Source organism: Homo sapiens, chromosome 9 (assembly GCF_000001405.40).
Source record: "Homo sapiens chromosome 9, GRCh38.p14 Primary Assembly".
NCBI classification, from domain to species: Eukaryota; Metazoa; Chordata; class Mammalia; order Primates; family Hominidae; genus Homo; species Homo sapiens.
The window spans coordinates 4,072,143-4,097,269 of NC_000009.12; the positions used below are offsets into that span (position 1 = coordinate 4,072,143).

Below are 25,127 nucleotides of genomic sequence, written 5' to 3' on the forward strand. Positions count from 1 at the left end.
TTCTGTATTTTGTCTTAGGGGTCTTTCCTTTATAGGATGGACTGCTTTCAAGTTACTCATCTCCTTTCTTAGAGGTCACCTTGATAATATTAGTTAGGCTTGACCATTTTCTAAGTATAGGCTCACATACAACTCAAACCCGTCAAAGATGGGCTCTCTACGCCATTCACAATCAGTGCAGTTTGAAATACTGTGAAAAGATTCAAACTATTAAGCCCTTAGTTGACAAGTCCAAAGCATACAATGTTCCCATGTGGTGGGTGGGTACAGTCTCATGGCAGGTCAACTCTCCCACGACAATGGAATCAGCATGTCTTTAATCTATGCATAACACTTGGACAGTAATGGGTTATTTTTATTTATTTTTTTGAGGTGGGTGTTTCTTTAAAACTTCCAGCAACATTTAAAAATAGTCATTATTGAGCTATCAGGATTTGATTCCCATGTATAAAATGCATTCACTGTAAATAAAACATGACATTTTTCCTCTTTATAATTCACTGAAAAGTTTAGCCAAGCATGAACTTTTTTTTAATGACATCCTGCTTATTACCGAGATTTCTGCACATGACAGGGTATTGGCTTTCTAAAGAGAACTGTTTTTTTTTGTTGTTGTTGTTATATCACTGTGCTGCTGTTGTTGTTTAGTTTCTTTCTTCTATATAAGTAGAATGAATTTAAAAAGAGAACCTTGTAATACACATGAACAGCCTAACCGAGTCATACTTATCATTTTATAGTTCACGTACAGCCCCAAATCGAACTGAAAGCCCAAATTAACAGTAAAACAACTCTTAAATAAAAGCATATGCTTTAACTATACAGCATGATGTTTGTATTTATAATTCTTTTTCACTTGGGTTTACTGCTTTTTTCTTTAAAAAAAAAAAAATTGGTCCCTTAAGTAATTATACACCCCTTTTTGGTAAAAATGGCTGCCAATCTCAAATTGGAAAGCAGGCTTATAACCTTGCAACCGATACATTTGAGTTGCACGCCTGTTCCTCAAACACCCATCAACTGAAATGTATAGTAGAGACAGAGATACATTCACCTGCCACAATCTACAAGCATGATCGCTACAGCTGGGCTAGCATAGAGCACTGACGGCAACATTCATCTGAACACAGGATGCTCCAAGTAGTGCGTCTCAAACCTCAGTGCACAATCAAATCACCTGGGGATTTGCTGTATCTTCCAATCACCAGGTCTCACAGCACACCTTTTGGATTCAGAAGATCTTGGATGGAGCCTAGAATTTTGAATGAACACCCAGGTCATTCTAAAGCATTCATGGGCTCCCACTTTCTGAAAGTCACTCATAAGTGGATCCTGCATCTCCACGCCCAGGCTTAGAGAGCTGGTAGACAGACACTCAGGGTGGGACAGGTAGGCAAAGCTAGCTAAGAAATACAACGCACAGCTGCAAAGCAGAAACTCAGGATTGCCCCTGCTGGTGGTTCATGAAAAGGCGGATGTTGCTGTCCTATCATATTTCTCTCCCTCAAAGAACTCCTCCCTAACCCTGACCAGGACATACCACCTACGCGGCAGTCGGATTACCTGAATTCAAACGCTTGCTCCCCCAATAGCTTAGCTTCTGCCTCAGTTTCTTCATCTCTCATATGGGTATAATAATGAGTTACTAGAAATTGTTTAAATAAATTATTTAAGTAAAATTACGCATGAAAGTGTATATAGAGCAGCACCTGGCACATAGGAGGTGCTCAGTAATTGCTCTGTGTGTGTCTGATGTGTGTAAGTACACAAAGTCCTGCTTACAATGCAGAAGAGAAAAGAGTCACTGAAGAAGTAAGCTGTAGAAGGCCATCATACGAACTGAGAGCCAAGGTGCAAGTTTGAAGTTTTATTCATTTAAATTTGTACAAGACATGCACTCCAAGCATTTCCTCCCACTCTCTAGTATTTCTATTTCTCCAGCTCCCTTCCGCCGGACTGGTTCCTCATCCCAATGCAAGTCACAAGTTAGTCTTCTTGCTAATTTATTGTTGAGCTAGCTCCAGCCTAGGGATGGTCAATATCATGAACCAGGGGTCTCTAGGGGAGCAGGGTCATTTCAGGGTGGGTCCCCAAACCATAGTTTGGGTTCAGGCTGAAACAGCACCCAACCTAAGCCATGACTTGGTGTCCTCATCATCTGGGCTTTGTCAGAGAAATTCTAGAAATTTAGTTCTCCTCTTTCCTGATTCCTTGTTTTGTATGCCCTTTGTGGCTCATATATCTGTAAACACTCACCTACTCCTCCTGTTAGTAATTTATGGAAGGCTGATGTCATCAAGCCCCACAATCCTGAGAGATTCAGACAAATTTCCATCCCGGTTCTCCATCTCTTCTGTGATCAATGTCCTAAGCTGGTTTCCTCCCTCATCAGATATAAAGATTCTACCCAACTGTATTATATTTTCTTTCTTATGGCTCTATATTTTATAACTGAATCATTTACTGTATCATAGGAGATGTGCTTTCCCTATTCCATTGATTTGGAAACTCCATCACTATGAAGCCAAGTTTGGGGCCCCACTCCTCTACCAGCACCTTTTCTTAGATAGCATTAACTTAAAGCAACATCATAGGACTTAATTTCATTTCAGCCTCCTGGTCTCAGCCATCTCTGTCACTTCCAAAGCCACCATGATCTTGGTAACGAGATCTTGCCTCCATTTGGTCATTAGGCATTTTTACCAAACTACAGAATTTTAGAGCCTGAAGCCAATTCAAGAGGATCATCTACCATGATCTTCTTTCTTCTCCAAATACAGAAACTGTAGTTCTCCTTTAAGAGACTTGCTCAAGGTCACATAGTTAGGGAGCAGCATAGAGTTTTCTGATCTCATGATGAAGACAACAGACGTACTCACCAAATAAGTAGCTACCATAGGAAGAAAATTCATTCAGTGATGGAATTGAGCCTTTAAAAGACTGAGATGAACAACAACACAACAACAACAACAAAGGGAATTTCTGGAGGAGATGAATACGTTCAGTGCATTTACTGTGGCGATGGTACCACGAGTGTATGCATATGTCCAACCTCATCAAAATGTATACATTAAATATGTGCAACTTTTATCAATTAGATGTCAGTAAGATTTATTGAAAGCTTAAAAATAAAAAAGATATTCAGGCCGGGCGCGGTGGCTGACACCTATAATCCCAGCACTTTGGGAGGCTGAGGTGGGCGGATGACAAGGTCAGGAGATAGAGACCATCCTGGCTAACAAGGTGAAACCCGTCTCTACTAAAAATACAAAAAAAAAAAAAAATTAGCTGGGCATAGTGGCGGGTGCCTGTACTCCCAGCTACTCGGGAGGCTGAGGCGGAAGAATGGTGTGAACCCAGGAGGCGGAGCTGGCTGTGAGCCGAGATCGTGCCACTGCACTCCAGACTGGATGACAGAGCGAGACTCCGTCTCAAAACAAAACAAAACAAAACAAAAAAGATATTCGATAGGGATCAATATATAGCCTAGACATAGGTGCTAAAAAGAGTTTTTAGGATATTTGCAAAAGATTTATTCAAAATAGCTCAAAACCAGAAACAACCCAAGTGCCCACCAAGAAGTGTATGCATAGGCAACCTGTGATATAGTCGTACAATGCAACATTAATCATCAATAAAAAGGAACTACTTAACCATGCAGCAACAGATAAATCTCAAGAACATTATACTGAGGAAAAGAAGTGAGAAACAAAAGTGTACATACAGCATTATTCCATTTATGTAAAATTCCTTTAAAGGCAAATCTAATCTAAAGGAATAGAAAGCAGAGAAGTGGCTCCTTAGGCCCAGAGCCAACAGAAGGATTGACTGCAAAGGAACACCTCACGAAGAAAAAATTAGTACTTTGTGAGGTGATGGAAATGTTCCATATATTGACTGTGGTGGTGGTTTCACAAGGGTACACATTGGTCAAATTTCATGGAACTTTATATTTAAAATGTAAAATATTTACACTCTATTTAATGTAAATTATAGCCCAACAAGTTGATTAAACAATACATTTTAAATCTGTAGAGTGTAGGAAGACTTGATTAATGAGTTCCATCTACTATCCCATAAGAACTATAATCTCCATGTGAAAAAAATATTAAATTTTAAATGATTATAAATTTACCACGGAGTAACATAATTGCAAAAGAAAAAGAATGCCATCTTAGGTTGTCTTACTAAAACTATGTTTCTCAGAGGAAGGGAAACTGTGATCCTATTATACTATGCATTCATCAACGCATACCTGTAGTGTTATCTCCTATGACCGATTCCTATGCTCCCATACCTAAAGTTTTGTTCTGAGTACCACATTAATTTTTCTTTCTTACAAAAGGAAAATGTACTATAATTAGTATATTCTAATGAACTGTAAATTGTAAACTATATTTAAAATACAAATAAGTAGATAAAAAAGAACATTGACCATTATCTCTCCACCTCAAAATAGCCACCAACCATATGTTGGATATTTATCTGTAGTACACATCCTCCAGTCTTTCTTTAAAAATGTGAATTTAAATATGTACTAAAAAATGAATGTTTCTGTGATGCCACTTCATAGCCTGTCTTATTTTTCCTAAAAATATAATGTGACTTTCTTTTCATAATGTTAAATTTTTTGGCTGGGCACAGGGGCTCACACCTGCAATCTCAGCATTTTGGGAGGTCAAGGCGAGGGAATGGCTTGAACCCAGGAGTTTGAGACGAGCTTGGGCAACATGGCAAAACCCTGTCTCTATCAAGAAAATATAAAAATTAGCCATGCATGGAAGCACATGCCTGTAGTCCTAGCTACTTGGGAGGTTGAGGTGGGAGGATGGCTTGAGCCAGGGAGGTGGAGGTTGCCGTGAGCTGAGCTCAAGCCTCTGCACTCCAGCCTGGGTGAGAGACCAAGACCTTGTCTAAAAAAACAATAACAACGATGATGTCCAATTTTCTTCTTATTTGTCATTGATATCTGCTGAGTATTCCACAGTCTAAAGCAATCCCCTATTATTGAACATTTATGATTTTTCCATGTTTTTAAAAAAATTGTCAGCAACTTTGAAATTAATAACCTTATAGCTTAATTTCTAGGCAGACAAAAATTTATAAAGATAAATTCCTAGAAGTGTAATTGTTAATACAGAAAGTATGCACATTCTTAAGGCTTTCAATTGGCACTGACAAATTGAGACCCACATTTAAAAGAGATGCTGAGAAACTGGCATCTGTCCAAAGGATGGCAACCAAAACATCCATGCAGCATGTCTTAGAGACAGGAGAGGGACTGGGCATAGTTGGCCTGGAGAAAATAAAACTTAGAAAGGAAAGATACTTCTCCTCAAAAAAAGGAAAGAGATTTTGTTTTTCTGTCTGCTTCTTTGTTTCTCATTTAAAGCTGATTCAACAACAGAACAGGAAACCCTGGGTTGGCCGTTAAGCTATTGCATCTCAGCTTAAGAAAATATCCTTCTATGCTGTTCTTTGAGACACTGGAAATCTACAATATTTCTCCTTTGCCAGGGTAGTCCCTGTCGGCCTCTACCAACAGGGGGCGCGGGGGGGTAAGTGAAGGAAAGAGAAAGGGCGGGCTGGTCCTGTTCTCTTGTCAGCGTCCCTCCACTAAAGGTTCTTCATCTTGGCAGCAGCAGTGGATTCCAGTTTGTCATTTTGCCAACACTCCCAGAACCAGCCTCCTTAGCAGTCTCTTCCTCAGAAATCTGGTTCCCAGCTCCATACCTTCCTCTGAGCTTCTAAGTTTTAATAATTCCAATCTCTTTCCTTTGTTCCTATCTCAAGAGGGAATAGCTATTTTATGCAGTCACTTTCTTCCCTTTTTTACTTTCCCAGTTTTCTGATACCTAGTTCACAATTCTTTATAGTGAGCTCTCTGTTAAAATGACTGGTGTGATTCCAGTCTCTTCATTGGACCCTGAATGATATGGTCCCCCATTGCTGGAGCTAAGTAAATTGAGAATGAATTATCTCTGGCCTAAGAATTTGTAAAAGAAATTTCTGGACCGAAAGTAAGTTACACCAGACCAGTGGTCTTAAAATCATTTTTTTCAATATAATCCTTTTTGCAAATATAATATTATGTCAAACCCAATATGTATCAAAGCAGTGGTGCTTTGGCTAAAATGGAGGTATGGAGTATCCTGCCCCTACCTGCCTGGCCCCATTCCACCAGATGCTTCTGCAAAGTCCTGCTCCTGACCCATTCTTCTGGGAAACCCCTGGGTTCAGCAGGGGTTTGTCTGACAATTTCTGATCTACACAACTCAAGTGCACTTCCAAATCTTCTGATTCTGTAACAATATAATTCTTCTTGCATGGCCTCAAGGCTCTCTGGAGATCTATGTGGCCCAGTAACAGCTCAAGCAAAACACAGGAACCACCACAGGCTGCCTGGTATTTACCTAGCTGTCCCATCTACAGATCGGGCCGCAAAAGGAAGCCAAGAGATCTTTGCCAGCCAGGCAGGGTAAAGCGGTGGAGAAACCATTATGATTGTGGTGCTGCCATTCCTGCTGTTAGGTTAAGGACAGGTCAGCATTTTTCACTATAATCCCCCTTCTTTCAGAGGTTTCTAACATGGCTATAAAACTCTGCCCTAGCTTAAAGTTTGGCATGAAAGTTTTGGCTCCAGGCTGTCCTTTCTTTCAGTGAAACTACTATGAATGTGTTTAGCTACTTTAGAACTCAGAGAGGGCATTGGATCATCAGAATAAGAGAAGTCTGTGCTTTGAAATGCCTCCCCTCTGTCCCCCGCCCCACCCCACAACATCAGAAAAATGATTAAGCTACCTTTTCTTAAAAACAAATGTTTTCCAGGTCTTTGGCTGAAAATACAGCCTTCCTTCTTTAGGAAACTGCTAAATAGAACCAAACTCTTCCAAGGTAAAACAGCTTAATGCAAACAAGATATTTCATACTAAAGGAGGGTTTCCTGCACTCACATTCTACTGTGGTTTGGTTTCAGCTTGTATCATCATTACCTTCTCTGATTCCCTGAAATAGGGTCCCATTGCTTTTGGAGTAAATTCCAAACATTTAAATTTTGCACAGATGACATTTATGCCTTGCACATACTCAACAATAGTCAACATGGGTGGTAAGTGAAAGGTATTAGAATTATTCCCTCTTTGCAAATTAAAAGATTGAAGCCCAAAGAGTCTCACAGGCTTAAGATCCTAGTCAAAGGCAAACTAGGAAAAAGACTGTCTTGTACTTCCTCTGAGAGGTATGCTGCCTCCTTAAACTGCAGGATTTGCAAGCCATAGCGAAGAAAGCAAAAAGGGAGCCCACCACCTGAAAGCCTCTACAAGTCTGGGGCAGTTCATCCCACTGATAAGATTCTCACCTGCATGTCCAGCAATGTTCCTGTCATCAGCGGAGGTCAGAGCAGTTTCAAAGTCCGCATTCTGTTCCTCTGCCTTTGGGATGCCGTTAAAGTCACAACCAGAGGAATGCCTTTATCCCCAAGCATGTCCCCAGTGCTGGGAAGAGCATGGCTATGGAGCCAGAGAAACCTAGCTTAAAATTCTACTTTTAAATCCACTCAAAATAAGGAAAGGCCTTCTTTTCTACCTTTGAAAGATGGATGTGAAAAAAAAAAAAAAAGAAAAAAGAAAACCTACCTGAAACAGGTTGCTGTAATCATTCAAAGCACCCAACACCCAACATGTAAGAGAAATTCAATGAATCAGAGCTACTGATAAGTAAACATCAACACTGCTCTCTCAAAATTTAAAAAAAAGGGAAGAAAATAGAAGAAATAAGAAAAAGGTAGTTATTTAACAGACACTTGTTGAAAAAAGAAAGGATACTCTGAATACTCTCCTCCTTAAGGGTGGAAAATATGCACAATGATTTAAGAAGGTGACATACAGGATCCATTTGGAAAATGCTATTGTAAAAGTGTTTGTGCAGGAATCTGCCTGCTTGTCAAATTCAATGACTAACTATATTGGAACCCCCCTGGCTTTATGACTGGGTTGAAAACCGTGTGCTGTGGTTCCTATACTATCCTTTCTTCCAATTCTAAGACACCTGACATATTAGTTTTCCCATTTATTTTTCCAGCATTCTTGCATTCGTAAGCATTTCCTGAGCACCCACCATGTCTCAGGTATTGTGCTAGGCACTAGAGACACAGAGGTAAGTGCCAGAGCTCAGATTAGGGTGAGGCATGATGTATTCCCCATAGGTGAATCATTTAAGGGGGCTCCAAAAACTCAGTAATCAGGATAAAAAAACATTTTGATGCAGTATTTAAAATAATCAACATTAGTACAAAAAAATGCATGATGAACAAATTATCAAAATTTTAAATAAAGACAAGATGATTTAATACTGCCCTGTTGTGCCATACTGGAGCTAAGGGAAAGGATAAATCACTAATGTGTATTCTACCCCATTTAAAATTTTGATATTTTGTTCACCAAGGATTTTAAAAATTAATACTGATTAAATATTACATTAAAATATTATTTACCTTTATTATTGAGCTTTTGGCACCCCCTTAGATTTCTGACACTAATCCTGGCCCTGAGTAGGACATATTTTGTAGTTGGCTGAAAACTGAAATACTAATGTCAACAAAAGAGAGAAGTCTAGGGGCATTAAAATACATTACAAATATCAAAGAAAGATAAAGTGAGGGGGCAGATAACGCAAGGCTCTTCAGTGGCAATACCTGCAGCCAGGCCTTCCGTTGGATCATCTTGACCCCCGGGCGTACATCGTACAACCTTCACACCCCCTTCACCTCTCAAGGAAACGGTGTTTGAGGTGGGTCTGCTTACCACAGTCCTTGTCAACTTGCAGCAACACAGGGCAACTGATTTCATGAGCAGGGTTTCTACTCCACAGGGCGTTTTTCCAGTCTTGCCTGGCTTGTCCTTGATTACGGCAGTAGAGGGTAGAATCTGCCCCAGAACTGTTTGGCCATTAGCTATTCCTAGGTTACACAATGAGCTTCATATTCAGTGCAGGCCAGGCACTCAAATTCTTGCACATCACTAAGGAATACTGTGCTAGAGGGAAGCATGACTACCAGACAGAGCTGGTACAAAAATGACCCACTTACCTTCTATACAAAGTATTATTAAGCATCTGGACCCTCCTAGCCAGGCCTCTGCAGTCCTTTGTCCTCACCACATTAACCCTTTTTACCCTGTCGCATATACTTACTGCAATGGCAGAGGCTGCCAGCTGTGTAGTAAATTAGACTACATTTCCCAGCCTCCCTTGCACCTACATTTGGCCATGTACCTGGGTTTTGGCCAATGGGATGTGAGGAGAGCCACTTACCCGCTGTCAGTCCTCTCATGAGGAATCCTCATTTTCTTTGCTCTTTATCTGGCTAAATGGAGAAAACACTGTGGACCCCCACGATACTGGAACCTAAGGTGGATGGAGCCTGGGTCCCTGGATAAACACGTGTAAAGCCCTCCCAACTAGTTGGAAATATATTTTGATTGTGCTAAGCCACTGTGATTTGGAGGGACTGTAATAGCAACCAGCCTATCGTGACTAATACATTTCCCCAACTAGACTATAAACTCCTCACTGCCAGACTCTGAATCGGATGCATCTCTGTTTTCTCAACAGTGAGCTGCACTGCAGTACAATTCTATCATAAATTAGCCACCATAATTTCCCTCCAGAAGCCATTATATACAAGCAATTCTACAATCATTACCAAGAAAATGACTAATGGTAAATTGTTCTCCTTTTTGTATTCTCAAACTTGAAAATGAAGGCAAAATACTCCTAGAAGCCACTGTTCATTATGATCACTAAATAGAAAAATTCATGCTTCTTAAATGCCATTTCATATGCATAATCAGCTAATAATCTAAACATAAACAAACATCCAAAGACAGAGGACAGAATCGGAATGGGAGCCCCAGACACATAACTTGAGTTTTCCTCTGGAAAGATTTCTAATGCACTATGGTGTCTTAGGATATGTTTGTGCTCTGTGCATATCACAGTTGACATCTTGTCAAAACCAAGGGAAATAATTGCATCTCCGAGTAAGAGCATCATGCAGGCAGCAATTTAAATGTGGCACTGCTTATCAGCACCAATTTACTAACATTTTACTGTATATAACTATGTGTGGTAGAAGAAAAACTTCTACATCCTTACCAAGATTCAGGCATAAAAACAAAATCTGTTACACTTCCAGTTCAAAAGAAGATAGAACGAAGGAAAGGGAAATAAAATGAGAAGCTGTGTTTCTTCCCCTAAGAAATAAACTTTTAAAGAAATTTAAGTCCTAAACATTACATCTTCATTTGAAATGGGGTGGGCAAGATATAAGCCATTTTGCTCAGGTCTTGAGGGAGAAGAAAAACAACCTATCTTATGAGACTATTAAGCTAACACCTCAGCAAGCTGCAGGCATGCTTCTCATTTATTACACGAAGCTGAAATCTTCTGACAGTCCATAATTATGTGCTGAGAACTCTAATGAATAACTCTGCATCAGAAGGATTCACGAAACTTTGATCAGTGTCCCGGGAGGCAGTGGGTCAAGATGAACCCTGAAATCTGATTAACTTCACCATCTTATCTAACATTCTACAAACACTGCTTTGTAACTCTCCACTCTTTACTTGCATATTCTGGAAACACAATTTTGTCAGACATACTAAAGTAGTTCTAAAAATTGTTCATATTCACTTTCGAAACAGACTTAAGATGGAGTTTGTACCATTTCCCATACATATTTTTCGACACCTCTTTTTGTTCCAAGGCCCATGGTCATAAAAAAGTTATGTTTTGGGGCTCAATGCTATTTTAGATGGGTAACTAGCTGTAATTTAGTACCTTGTTCTCTGCAAGTGCCAAAGTTTTTAGAAGACCTAGGTCTGAAGTGGTGACATGTTTAAACTGAGTTATCCACAAACCCTTTTCTCTGTTCCCTTTGGGTTTGAGATATATAAATAAGGGAACAGAAATTTGATTTAATTGAAGCTGAATCATCTGAAAATGGAATAGAACTCATGCCTGTGGTTTCATCCACAATTTGGTTCAAGTGGTGTGTGTGTTTATGTGTGTTTAATGAAAACACAGTTGTCTTGTGGACCCTCTTACTAGAATTTGGGCAGCAATAGAGCACAAAACATGTGCCACTACTCCTCATCATTGCACCAAAGCAGACATCACTAATCAATACCCTACTCTTTTCACTGAGCCTGGCAGTCCATAATCCTTACCACAGCCCTCTAGGTAGCTGCTACTAGATACATGGAATTTAAATACTAGGTGAAATGCAGCTCCCAGCCTTGAATTTGTCCTGTTACTAATGAATGTTTGAAGTGGAGAAGATGTTGCCATTTATGTTGTTCAATTCTCCCATTCTATGGGTAAAAATACCTGAGAAATTGAAACATTAATTTACTTTCCATAGGTCATACAGCCAATCTATAGGTAGGAACTTTTTAGTTAAAATCGGAGTTATTTTTTATGTTCCTTCTTGGTATGATTTATACCACTGAAGATGTGTATGACAATGTTTAAGAGTAAGTAATGAGGTCAAGAAAAATATCTCAGGTGTGTTTTATAAACCAAGCCAAAAACACAAGAAAAAATCCACTGCAGAAAGTGCAAGGAGAGCTATAAAAATTACCCTCTACCTTGAAATCTATGCAAGATGACCAGCTAAGCTTACAGTACTCTTGCCCTATGTACCATTTGCTTACATCAATAATTTCTGGTTTCACTTGCTACTTCATGCCAGAATAAAAGCCAACGCATGTAGAAATCATCTCTAGAGAAAGAAACTGCCTCTGTTTAACTACTCTGGGTTCATCACCATTTACACTATTGCAGATGACTTCCTGCCTCTCTCCAGGAGTTCAGATGGAGCTGCTCAAGGCTCTGTTACCATTCAGAGTCTGAGGCCAGGATTTTTAGAACAAAACACAGCAACTTTTCCAGGTCTGTTTTTAAAAAGCCCATTCTGTGTTTCTGGCTTGGTAGTATTAAAAAGACAGCAAGAACTCCTTTGGGAGGGGAGAAAAAGACTACGAAGCCCTCAAACCAACAGCAGAGTGATATGATGCCAGCAATGTGTAATCTCTCTCTCCTTCCTTCCTCTCTCTAACACACACACACACACACACACACACACACACACACACAAATTCCTAGCCTCCCCTTAAACTTAGAGGGGCCTGTGGGATATCTCTTATCTTGCGGTTCTCTACATTTGAAGAACCTTTGGTAGAAATGCATGCGCAAGGAGAGGAAAAAATAATGGCAAATTGCTAATGCTATCAAGCCAAGAGCCTCCAGCAGGTTCGCGTGGTGGAGAAGAAACAGCCACGGGAAAGGACTTCACACAAGGAGACGAGGAGGAGCAGCTGGGGAGGAGGTGGAAGTGGGTGACGGAGACATGGAGCCAGAAACAGAGCTGTGAGGAAGAAGGGGAAAAAAGGCTGAGCAGCCGAAGGATGGTGGTTAAAATAACTCGTGGTAACAGAGTGTTCTTTGTTACCACACACTGCTCTTTGTTATCACACATTACAGAAAGTTATAAACAACAGAAGCATGCCGTACAGTAAAGCTGCGCTTCAAGCTCCGAGCTCTGGTGACCTAACAAACTCCTTGGCTTCCTCCTCGTGTGGACTGACGCTGTTTCTAGAACACCACGTTAGGACTGTGGCCATTAATCTGTACATCTCAATCCATGCACAGGAATCTTCCAAAATGCTTGGCATTGTGTTCTTAAAGAAGCCTCTTGCATTCATATTGATGCAGGTCAAAAAGACGCAGATAAGGGTGACTCCATCCTAGATGAAAAGTGGCTATCAAGTTTTACAAACAACGCAATGCAAAAACTTTTGGGAGGAATAAAAAAAAGCACATAGAAAATGATCTTGTTAGTGTTTATACATAAAATTATATACTCAACAGAAACAACAAAACAGCTTGCAAATGAAGGAATGGATAAATAAAAAGCTCTCTCTCAATCTTGACTTGACTTCAGGTCAAGTAAAGCAATGGTCAGACACTAAGGAACACTCCTTGCTCAAACTCCCACCACTGTGCTTTTCTCTACTGTCATTCCGCCTTTATAATCAATCAGTTTGCCTCTATCACTGATGGCTTTTTTTTTTTAAATCTTTCCTCCATTTAAGCATTGATATTTTCTAAGGGTTCTTTTTTCTTCTCATTTCTTACTCTGCATTTTGAAGATGCTTTGTTTCTCTCCAGATTGCTGGTGTCTTCCTGTACCAGCAGAGCTCACCACTTCTCCTTCTGTAGTATCTCTCAGACCTCACTTTTCTTGATGGCCACTGCCACCCTCTCATTTTATCCTGTCCACGTGATAGCCAGAATTAAAATCCCCACTGATCTCTACACTGACCCTTTCTCCCCTGCCCATTCTATCCTTCTGAGAACCATCAAAATTATTGACATATTATAAATATTTGTCCCTGCCCAAATGTCATGTTGAAGTGTAATTCCCACTGTTGGAGGTGGGGCCTGGTGGGAGGTGACTAGCTTTATCACGGGGGCGGATTTCTCATGAATGGTTTAGCGCTATCCCCTCGGTGCTGTCCTCGCAATAGTCAGTGAATTCTCATGAGATCTGGTTGTTAAAAATGGTGGCACCCCACTCTCTCTCTTGCTCCTGCTTTTGCTAAGTGATGTTCATGTCGCCTGCTTCCCCTTCCGCCATGAGTAGAAACTTCCTGAGGCCTCCACAGAAGCACATGCCACTATGCTTCCTGTAAAGCCTGCAGAACTGTGAGCAAATTAAACCTCTTTTCTCATAAATTACCCAGTCCTGGGTATTTCTTTATAGCAACGCAAGAATGGCCTAATACAATTATCCTTCTAAAAGACAGCTATGTTAAAGTGCCTACCATGTGCACGTGCTTTTAACCATTTCTTTGTCCTTACACGAGTTGTCCAAACTTCACAGGATCAGAAATTCAATGTCTCTCACAATTTGACCTCAACCACCAGATGTAACTACCACTGCACATACCCTACTCAGACATGTATTTTCAGTATTCTATGTCTTTGAACATATCACTCTTTTGGCATGTAATTTACTTGTCTCCACCTCAGTCTAGTGAAATCCTCATCCCCCAAGTCCCAACTGAAGAATCATGACCTCTATGAAACTTCCCCAACCCCACCCTGGGGCAATGAGTCATTCATTCCCTCCTCTGAGTTATCACAGCACTTCCCCATATCTCCATCACATCGCTGAATATGTCATATTCCAAGCCATAACTTTATGTATATCATACTGTGAGCTCTCAGAGACCAGGATCCTATTCGTGGTATTCCCACGACCTAACACAGCACCTGGCACATATGCAGAATGTTTATTACATTGGGGTGAATTCAATAAAATTGAAAAAGGATCTTCCAGAAAACAAATCTTTAACAATCAGTCAGACACAGGAAATTGTGAAAAGCATGTGTCTCCAGAGAGGAAGGATGACGGAATGTGTTAAGAGACGGACTTTCCACTGTATGTCCTTTTGGAGAGTTTTAGATTTTTTTACCATGTAAATGTACCACTTGTCAAAACAGTGCTGAGCAGGCTCTACAGCATGTGCCGGGCACTGTGCACAGGAGGGACTTTCAGCATCATGAACAACTTCACTAACTAGAGAGAGCCATGAACTTGAATAACCCCTGTGGAGATTAATCTCTTTTTCCCCTCAAGTCCCACAGAGCCTTGCTGTTCTTCAGTTGTAGCATTCTCCACAGTCTAACTGATAACGGCATGATTTAGAGACATGTCCTCCACATTGGACCTTGAACCCGTAGACGGCAGAGGCTCCCTACTCTTCACCTCTGCATCCTCTACAAAATCCTAGTTTAGTGCTATGTGTACATGTGGCAGTCAACTTGTAATTGTTTAACTGAGTTGGACTGGCCCTGAAAACATGGCAAAGTCTGAAATGAAAATAAAAGGAATAACTATATTTGTTTGCAGCCAATAAATCATGTGAAGTGGAGGCAAAGAAGACAAAACCTAAAATATTACTAATAAGTAATAATAATAAATACTAGGTGATTATGGTCAGATGAGTACAGAGGTAGAACAGCTATAAAAATGTATCAGCTGTTTTTTCATCCCTTATTTAGGCCATGGATAAACATTTATTATTCCTTCTCCACTTGCGGCAAAACATACTTTCAAGTGAGAGCCTTAAATAGATGCACATCCAAAGCTGTACAGAGCTACTACTGAGTGAAGATGAAAAAAGTTTTGAGATGAAAGAAGAAAAGGAAAATGGATTCTGAAATGATAGCCTCATAAACAAAACAGGAAAACAATCGGCAATTTCCTGATAGATCTAAGGCCTCCCTCCTCCAGTGAAAATACCCCAACTAGAGTCTTTAGTGCCAGGGAACAGTTTGAAAACCCCATGATATGGAGAAAAGCAAAAAGTACAGGATGTGGGCTCTGGCCTCATAGAGCTTAAAAATAGAGTTGTATTAACACCCACATGAAAAGTTAAAAAACAACAGATTTAAGGGGGAAAGGTGGTACATCATCATAAAATTCATATCGGTGAAAAAATATTCATTGAGTACCTAATACTGAAATTTTTAGTATTCATATTCCTACATGAACTAAGGGTAAGGTACCAATCCTGCTACACAGTCCAGGCCTGACCGCTTCCTCCATGAAGCCTTCAGTTTCTTCCCACTCACAGCCACAAGGAATTATTCTCTTTGGCCCCTCAACACAGGAATTTATCCATACCTTGGTTACCTCACTTCTATTGTCCATCTCGCATTATGGTTAGTTATGTACATGGATTGGCCCCCAATGAACTTTAGACTTCCCTAGACAGACTCCACATGTCATTCATGCACTAACAACTCCTCAATGCCTTTGCCATAGTCGAACTCAGCTCACTGGCTAGACAAGGTGTGAGGATAGCCATGGCAGATCTGGGTTTGTCTTCAACCCCAACATAACCTACAAGAATTCAACTTCTGAAAGGGAGAAAGAATAAAGAAGAAGGGAAAGAAAGGAGATGAAAAAAGAGAGATTAGTATCATGTACCTCAATCCTTCTATCGGGGCACCTGCCACACTTAATTTAATTTACCGACCTGCCTCCTTTTGGGAGAAGGCATTGGTTTTTATTTACCTTTGCAGTCCTGTGGGTCTAGCCCAATCCTTGGCATAAAACATATGCTTAGGCTAATAATTATTTGGTGAATCCAATAATTAAAGAAGAGAGAAAGGTTGGAAAAATAAATGTTCTCATTTGATTAGTGCCCACTGAAATGAGAGATGAATGACAGCCAACAGAAGTACAATCCTCCCTTATTTTCCTTATCTTAAATTGGTCCTAAGTGATTTAATCTTGTGTCTGTCCTTAAACCAACTTTGAAAGATTACAAGTCAAAATTCACAGGAAAATTATCTTCTTATTTCTTAAAACTGGCTAATCCCCATTGTAGATGGAATTCACTTCAATAAATATTTACTGAGCACCAACTATATATTGGATGTATTCCTAATGCCAGAGAGTAAAGCAATAAATGTGACCTTGTCCCTTCTCCTCAAGGAACCTACAGTTTAGCGTGGCATTCCTTGTAAATTTTAGTGCCTTTTACTATGACGGAAATAAAATTATGTAGTTTCACATTTATGAAGTCCCACATTTTAAAGCCAAGGCCAAAATGGATATTTCTTTTCAAAAGTTGAGATACTTCACAGCCAAAATCCTACATGGCAGGATGCCAGTCCAAAGGGCTTCACCCCAAAAGGCCTGTCTTCATTCCTCGAGAAAAAAATGGAATAGACAGCTCCTCAGATGGAGTTACCAATGACTTAATTTTGACAGAAACATCTATATCCATGAGCTGTGTTAAAACAAAGCTGGTAGAAAGACTTTCCCCAGCAACTTGCTTTAAAACAAACTGTAAATGTTTGCTTTACTTTTATTTTTTATGAACTAGTCCCAAATATTTTGATGTGGCCTAGTTTTTTATGTTTCTTAATAATCCAAATATTCATGTCTGTCTCAACTGCAGTGTGGAAGTTTAAACTCAGGTTTTGTGGGGATGCACTGATCCATTGTATAAATGGAACAGTACTAACAAGACACGTATCACCTCTGAAAATTGCTGTTTAATGTTGGTATATCTCAAAACTGAAAAATGAAGATGTCTAAACAGTCTCATCTTGAAGAGTGGATAACATTTTTTTTTCCTTTACAAACGTTTTAAGAGAAAATGTATATGTGTGTGTATGTTAATAAAAAACTGTGTATTTACATACACGACCTTACAAATTCAATCAACATAAATATGAAAAAAGGAAAATATATTATTATTATAAAATTGCTGAGGAATTATTAATGAAGAACATTGCCAAAATGTTAAAAACATAAAAAATTGGCCATGTGTAGTGGCTCACACCTGTAATCCCAGCGCTTTGGGAGACCCAAGCAGGAGGATCTCTTGAGGCCAGGAGTTTGAAACCAGCCTGGGCAAACCCCATCTCTACAATTTTTGTTTTTTAATTAGCCAGGCATGGTGGTGTATACATGTAATCTCAGCTACTTGGGAGGCTGAGGTGGGAGGATCGCTTGAGTCCAGGAGTTTGAGGCTATGGTGAGCTACGATCATGCCACTGCATTCTAGCCTGGGCAACAAACAAGACCCTGACAAAAACAACAACAAAAACCCATAAAAAATTGAATTCTCAGGTGTCTCCACTAATTAGACAGTGACAAAGGGAAAAATCCACATTTCCGGGTGATCATAAAGAGGAGTATTTATTTTTGTTCAGACAAAGTGGTGCCTCCCACTGTGTGCCATGCCCACGGCAGAGGGGTGCAATGTCCAGAACTCTGCTCCTCGCTTGCTCCCTTCTGCCCTGTGTCAGTGGGTTGTCCTGCCTGGGCTCACAGGGACTGCAGGGGGTATGATTCCTATTCCCATACCAGCTTTGTCAAAGCACTTGTCCCAGAAGTGGATCCCATCCCTAAAACCCATTTTAGGCAGAGTTGTGACACAGGTGACTGGCATTGCCCCTTCCCTTCTACACAGGCCCACTGTCCTCATTATCTTTTGGGAAACACTAGATTTCTCCTTAGTGCTGCCTTCCTGCCTACAGCCCAACAGATTCAAACTGCGGTCCTGGCTCAATATATATTTGATTTGAGTTTAAGAAAAGCCCTTGAATTCATTCATCTCGAGGATCTAAAACTGATTCACGCTCAATAAAAACAAAATAAGACTTGGTTACAGTACCCAGGATGTGACAAAGAATCTGTAGTTTAGCCTTCTTTGGGACTTAAAGTTTAAAAAAAAAAAAAAATTAATGAGGCTCTCCAGGCAGAATCAAGTGAGACAAAGCTAAGGGCGGAAAGAAAAGGGAAAGCTTCCAAGTCCACTGAACACATAGCAGTTGGACCACCTGGTCCAAGACACAGAATCCCAACTGGAAACGCTCAGGGTGGCATTCAGGGCAAGGACACTGGAATCAGACAGGTTTAGGCTGAAATTATGGCTCCACCACTTGGTGGCCACGGCATCCAGTGTTCCTTAGTTTCCGCTAGTAGTAGCTCCCTCATAAGGCCCAGGGAAGAAGAGATAAGCTTAAGCACGTGAAGTGGTAAACATAGCACAAAACACACCCTCTGTCAACTGCTACTGCTGAGGTTGTGACTATTACTATTGCTGGTATGCTGGAGTCACTAGACTGTACATTCTGCAAGAGAAGTTTCATGCATAGCACAGTCGTTACAACTGCAGGTTCTAGAATCTGACTGCAAACCCTGGCTCAGCCATTTTCTAACTTAGGTAAGTTCCTTGAGCAATGTATTTAACCTCTTTGTGCCTTAGTGTCCATATATAAAAAGGGGGATGATGATATCCATTAAGTTGTTGCAAGTAAAGTTAGTATGTATAAAATGTTTGAGGCTGGGCATGGTGGCTCATGCCTGTAATCCCAACATTTTGGGAGTCTTGGGTGGGAAGATGGCTTGAGTCCAGGAGGTGGAGACCAGCCTGGTAAACATAGTGAGACCCCATCTCTACAAAAATAATTTTTAAAATGTTAAAAATTAGCCAGACGTGGTGGTGTACATCTGTAGTCCCAGCTACTTGGGGGTCTGAGGTGGGAGGATCTCTTGAGCCTGGGAGTTCGAGGCTGAAGTGGGTCATGATCAGATCATCACACTCCAGCCTGGGCAACAGAGTGAAACCCCGTCTCAAAAAAAATTAAGTTAAAAAAATAATTAAACGTTTGTAAGATTGGTACACGGTAAGCATTTTCCATTTATCCTTAGTGGAAATAAAAATAAAAACAATAATAATAAACACAGATCACTTACCATAAGTCAGGCACTTCATTAGACTACACGCACACGTGCACACAAACACACACACACACAACCACATAAGTATGAATGTGCAGTCATGTGTCGCTTAATGACAAGAATATGTTCTGAGAAATGTGTTAGGTGATTTTGTTGTATAAACAGCAGAGTGTACGTATGGCGAGCATCCCCCTTCGCTCGACTCTCACTTCTCCTTCCTGCCACCATGTGAAGGAGGATGTGTTTGCTTTCCCTTCTGCCATGATTGTCAGTTTCCTGAGGCTTCCCCAGCCCTGCGGAACCCCTCTTCTTTATAAATTACCCAGTCTCGGGCAGTTCTTTATAGCAGCGTGAGAAACAGAATAATACAGTAAGTATCTGTGTATCTAAACATATCCAAACATACTATGGTATGGTATCCAAACACAGAAAAGGTACAGTAAAAATACCATATAAAAGATAAAAAAAAATGATACACTTGTATAGAGCACTTACTAGGAATGGAGTCTGTGGGACTGGAAGTTGTTCTGGGTGAGTGAGTGCTGAGAAACGTGAGACCCTAGGACATTCCTGTACACAACTGTAGACTTTACAAATACTGTACACTTAGGCTACACTAAATCTATTAAAAATTTTTCTTTCTTTAATAATAAATTTATCTTACTGTAACTGTTTTACAATTTTTTTTTTTTTTTTTGAGACAGAGTCTCGCTCTGTTGCTCAGACTGGAGTGGAGTGGCGCAGTCTCGGCTCACTGCAAGCCTCGCCTCCTGGGTTCACACCATTCTCCTGTCTCAGCCTCCCGAGTAGCTGGGACTACAGGCGCCCACCACCATGCCTGGCTCATTTTTTTGTATTTTTAGTAGAGACAGGGTTTCACCATGTTAACCAGGATGGTCTCGATCTCCTGAGCTCGTGATCCGCCTGCCTCAGCCTCCCAATAAACTTTATTTTTTGTTTGATTCTTCTGTAAAAGCACTCAGTTTACAACACAAACACACTGTACAGCTGCACCACAATATTTCCTTTCTTTATTTCCTTATTGCATAAGCTTTTAAAAATTTTTTTAAACTTTTTAAATTTTTTGTTGAAAAGTAAGACATGAATACACACATTATCCTAGGCCTACACAGGGTCATGATCATCAATATCACTGTCTTCCACCTCCACATCTCATCCCACTGGAGGGTCTTCAGGGGCAGTAACAAGCCTGGAGCTGTCATCTCCCATAATAACAATGCTTTCTTTTGAAATACCTCTTGACGGAGCAACCTGAGGCTGTTTTATTAACTTTCTTTTATAAACAGAAGGAAAGCACTCTAAAATAATAATAAAACGTATAGTATAGTAAATACATAAAACAGCAACACAGATTTTTATTATCAAGTATTATGTGCTGTACATAACTATATGTGCTTTATTTTTATACAACTGGCAGTGACATAGGTTTGTTCACACCAGAATCACCCCCATGCACGTGAATAATGAATTGCTCCATGATGTGACATTAGCAATGACGTCAGTAGGTGATAGGAATTTTTCAGCTCCTTTATAATCTTATGGGGCCACTGTTGTATGTGTACATAGCCACTCTTTGACCAACATGTTGTTATGTGGCACATGCCTGCATGTATATTTAATTATCCTCATTTACAGATGAGAAAAATGAGGTACTAAGTGGAAAAGTAACATGCTGGCCTCACAGCCTGTAAGTGGCAGAGTCATGATTTAAATCCAGGCAGTCTGGCTCCAGAGTCCACGCTCTTAATCACTATGCTATGCTGCCTGGAAAAAAAAAAAAAAGTTAATATAATGAATGAATGTTCCTGCTGGAAAAATACTGAAAAGAGCCAGTCACTTTGCCCCCAGTGTTTGCACTGAGTAAGGCCCCCTCTTGCAAAGCGTGCACAAGGGAAGAACCAAAGCATGTGGAAGACAGAGGAGAGCAGACTCAGAGACTCGGTACTTCCTCCCTCGGGTTGGCAGGGGCTATTCAGCCAAAGCCTGAACAGAAGGGTGGCCTGAAGGCTTAAAAATAACTCAGGGTGCTGGCCCTAAATCCAAAGTCACTTGGTTTTCTAGCACATTTTAAACTGGCAAGGAGCAAATGCTTATTATGGGCTTGGCCTTCTAGTGGTATGATAAGGGGCTATAAATACTCAGAAGACTGGATACTGGTCTTGAGGAAGCTTATCACAGGACAAGGCACCTTCAGCTTCCTTGCTAACCCACTGGCTGAGTTTGATTTGTGTATCTGCAACTCTTCTAGATTGCAGTTATGTGTGCTGGATTTCATGCTGCTAAATATCTATATATATATTTTTAAATTTTAGGCCATTTAAGGCCAAACATGTATTCTTTGGCTATGACAAGACAAGTTGACCAGAAGGCCTTATCAATACTTCAGTAACCCTGAGGTCTCACCTTATAATACCTCATCTCAGAAACTGTGGAATTGTAGGTCAACTGTGTATTGAATCGATAATTTGCTGCTGTCTAGTTCTTAAGAGTGATTCATTGCTTTTTTTCATCATCCTCGTTGAATTCAGTTTCCTGCAAATATCTGAACTCTGGGTTCTTCCAGATCATCTGTTCCGTGGATGCTTCCCAATCAATGGCTTTAAGCACGTGAAAATCTCAACCAAAAATACCTGATGATAGACAGAAAGAGATGGGAGTGGAACATGGAAGAGAAGAGGAAAGCAGGAACGAGAGGAACTGAGGAAAACAAGCTGGGTCATCAAATTATTAAGAAGACAAACATTTCTTACCTACCAGATTAGTAAATATCAGAATCTTGCTAATATACTGTGTTGGTGAGATGTAGGAGAAATTGACATGCTCATATGTGGCTAGTGAGAGTGCAAATCAGTACAATCTCCTATGTTAGTGAAATCTGCCAACATTTCCTCTGTTTTAATTTTTGTTTTTTTACTCTAAATAAAATATACTTACTAGTTGCTATTTTTAGAGACAGGTTACGTGCCAGTGCTATAAAGGTCAAAGTGGGATAATATGATCCTCAACAATTTAGATTAGTAACATTTTACAATCCTCAGCCTATAACAGGAATGTTCCGTTACTACCATGGCAAATACAATTGAACATTCATAAATAACTGAATGAAAGTCATAAAACCTGTAAGGGTATTTATGTGCACATATCAAAATCCAAATACTCTCATTTCTCAACTAGCCAGTGTTAAAGGACCATGCCTGTACATTTCTTCTATTCTAAGACAACATGTTCTCATTTAACATTCCTAAAATTAGGAGGTCTTAAAATTAATGATCTTAGATCCGATGGCTTATTTTAATGTAGCCACTTGAAGTTATTTGGCTCACAAACTAGGACAAAATTTTAAAATCACAATGCAAAGATATTTGCTATATATCAAATGAAGTATTTTTAATTGCTTAATTTTATTTTTATTTAACATAATAATTGTACATATTCATGGAGCACATAGTGATGTTTCAATACATGTAATACATAGTGATCAGATCATGGTAATTAGCATATCCATCACTTCAAACATTCATCATTTCTTTGTGTTGGGAACATTCAATACCCTCCTTCTAGCTATTTGAAACTATACACTATGTTATTATTAACTATTGTCATCCTGCAGATGAATAAAACACTAGAACTTATTCCTCCTATCTAGCTGTAATTTTGTATCCTTTAACAAATCTCTCCCTATCTCCGCCTTCCCCCTACCCTTCCCAGCCTCTAGTATTCTCTGTTCTATGTACACATCCTTTGAACTAGCCTTTCTACTTCTGGACATAAATGTTTTAACCGGGTGTCAACTCATGCTGTACCAAAAAGCTATCCAAATTCTGAGTATTTCTAAATTTCAGGAGAGATAGTAATGAAGGGGTTTCATAACAACCACAGGACCTACAAATTATATGTACTATAACTTTGCCTTCACTAGTAAGTAGATAGAGATTGAGATTGTATTTGCTCATAACTCCAAATCTTTTGGTGGGACTAGATTGGGAGGGTTGCAGAAGTGGCTGCTATGTTTTATAGAATTCAACAGTAAGGATTACTGAATGATGGGTCAAGCTATATTAGAAGAGGAAGAGTCTGGGCCTAAGAAAGGAACATATGAGTTCTAATGTTTCCTCTACCAACAATTCTGTCCTCTTGAACAAGACAACACTACTCATCCGTGAATGATGAAAGTGAGCGAGCTATAAATTTGCTTCATGTTTAATGATCCATCTGTACTACAGCTAAACTGAGCTAAACCCACACAAAAGGAAAAAGGAATTAACACTTAAGAAGTGAGTTCTTACTAATTGTCTGCCATTGTAGTTCTCCAATACGTCTCTTAACCCTGCCAACAACTCCACAAGGTAAGTATTATTCTCTTTTTACAGGCTAGGAAACTGACATTCAGAGAAGTTGCTGTCCTGGTTTCAAAGCCAACAAGTTACAGAGCAAGGAATCAAACCTAAATGGTTCTGCCTACAAAAATGGGCTCCTTGCTCTTTGTTGTATTTTCTCTACACCCAGTAACCTATACAAAAAAAAAAAAAAAAAAGTCTCTATCACAGATTTTGTCACAATAGAAACACATCTAAATACAAAGAAGAGAGATATATTTTTAAAGGAAAATAAGGAGAAAAAAACAAAGATAAATTCATTGACCAAAGGATTAAATAGTTCACATTTAAAAAAACAAAACAAAACTCTGAATCACCAAAAGTGACTTAAAATCTGTGTTTCTACATAGTGCTAAAATAACCAGACGATGTGCGGTTAATTAACTCTGTTTAGACTAAGGTAAATTTGGGTGTTTGGTTCTTTTTTCCTACCAGTTGTGTTATAAGGACATACAGTGAATCACTCCTACATAGTCCAGGAATAGTTTTCAACTGAAAGGTCATTTGTATTGTTAACTCATACGAAAAACAAAAGTAACACATTCATCCTGCACATAACTCCAGAACTCTAAGTTCTCAATGACCCTTTCTTTAATTCAGTAGTCATTTATAATTTTTAAAGGTGGGGTTGGAGCTGGGGGTGGTGGAGTCCTTACTGAATTTACTTAAAGTTAGTGGCTGAAGGACTAAATTAAAATTACATTTAATCCGAATTTACTCCTAGTGTGGACGATTCCCTCCCTGAGCTCAGGAGAATTATCTGTGATGTGATCCAGTCTTCTAAACAAGGCTGGAGAGAGAGGAGAGGGGAGAGGTAGAAATGAAGGGGGCGGAGAACAGCTTATAAACTAAAGGAGGTTGGCCAGACATGGTGGCTCAAGCCTGTAATCCCAGCACTTTGGGAGGCCAAGGCAGGTGGATTGCTTGAACCCTGGAGCTCAAGACCAGCCTGGGCAACATGGCAAAATTCCGTCTCTACTAAAAATACAGAAATTAACCAGGCACAGTGGCAGGCGCCTGTAATCCCAGCTACTCGGGAGGCTGAGGCAGGAGAATCTCTTGGACCCAGGAGGCAGAGGTGGCAGTGAGCCGAGATCGTGCCACTGCACTCCAGCCTGGGCAACAGAGCACGACTCTGTCTCAAATAAATAAATAAACAAACAAACAAAGGTGGAAAGGAAACAAAGGGTGAGATACGCTGGAAGCAAATCACTCCTTACTCCATGGGGAGGGCTTCTGTTCACAGAAATCTTCCTCCCATTAGGGCCCTAAAGGTTTGGCGAGCTGCACATCTCCAACTTGTTGGGGCAGAACATCCTTTCTTCCATCTGCCTGCCACCAGAAGCCACAGAGAACTGATATTGCCTCTACCATAAATTAAGAGTCAAAAGGAAAATATT

At 40.0% G+C, this 25,127-nt stretch overlaps 1 protein-coding gene across 20 annotated transcripts in view; it reads right to left on the reverse strand.

The window, feature by feature from the left end:
* GLIS3 (GLIS family zinc finger 3) overlaps positions 1-25,127 on the reverse strand; it is a 666,339-nt gene that overhangs the window by 248,016 nt on the left and 393,196 nt on the right. For 3 of the 20 annotated variants that reach the window (XM_047422891.1, NM_001438915.1, NM_001438913.1), the window contains one exon: positions 20,340-21,981. The exons of 13 other annotated variants lie outside the window; for them this stretch is intronic. In XM_047422891.1, coding sequence (XP_047278847.1) covers positions 21,916-21,981 — 66 coding nt within the window. In that variant the 3' untranslated portion in view covers positions 20,340-21,915. Of the gene's footprint in view, positions 1-20,339; positions 21,982-25,127 lie in introns of those variants that run through there. 4 more of the 20 variants (XM_047422893.1, NM_001438916.1, NM_001438914.1 and 1 more) reach the window with 2 other exon arrangements.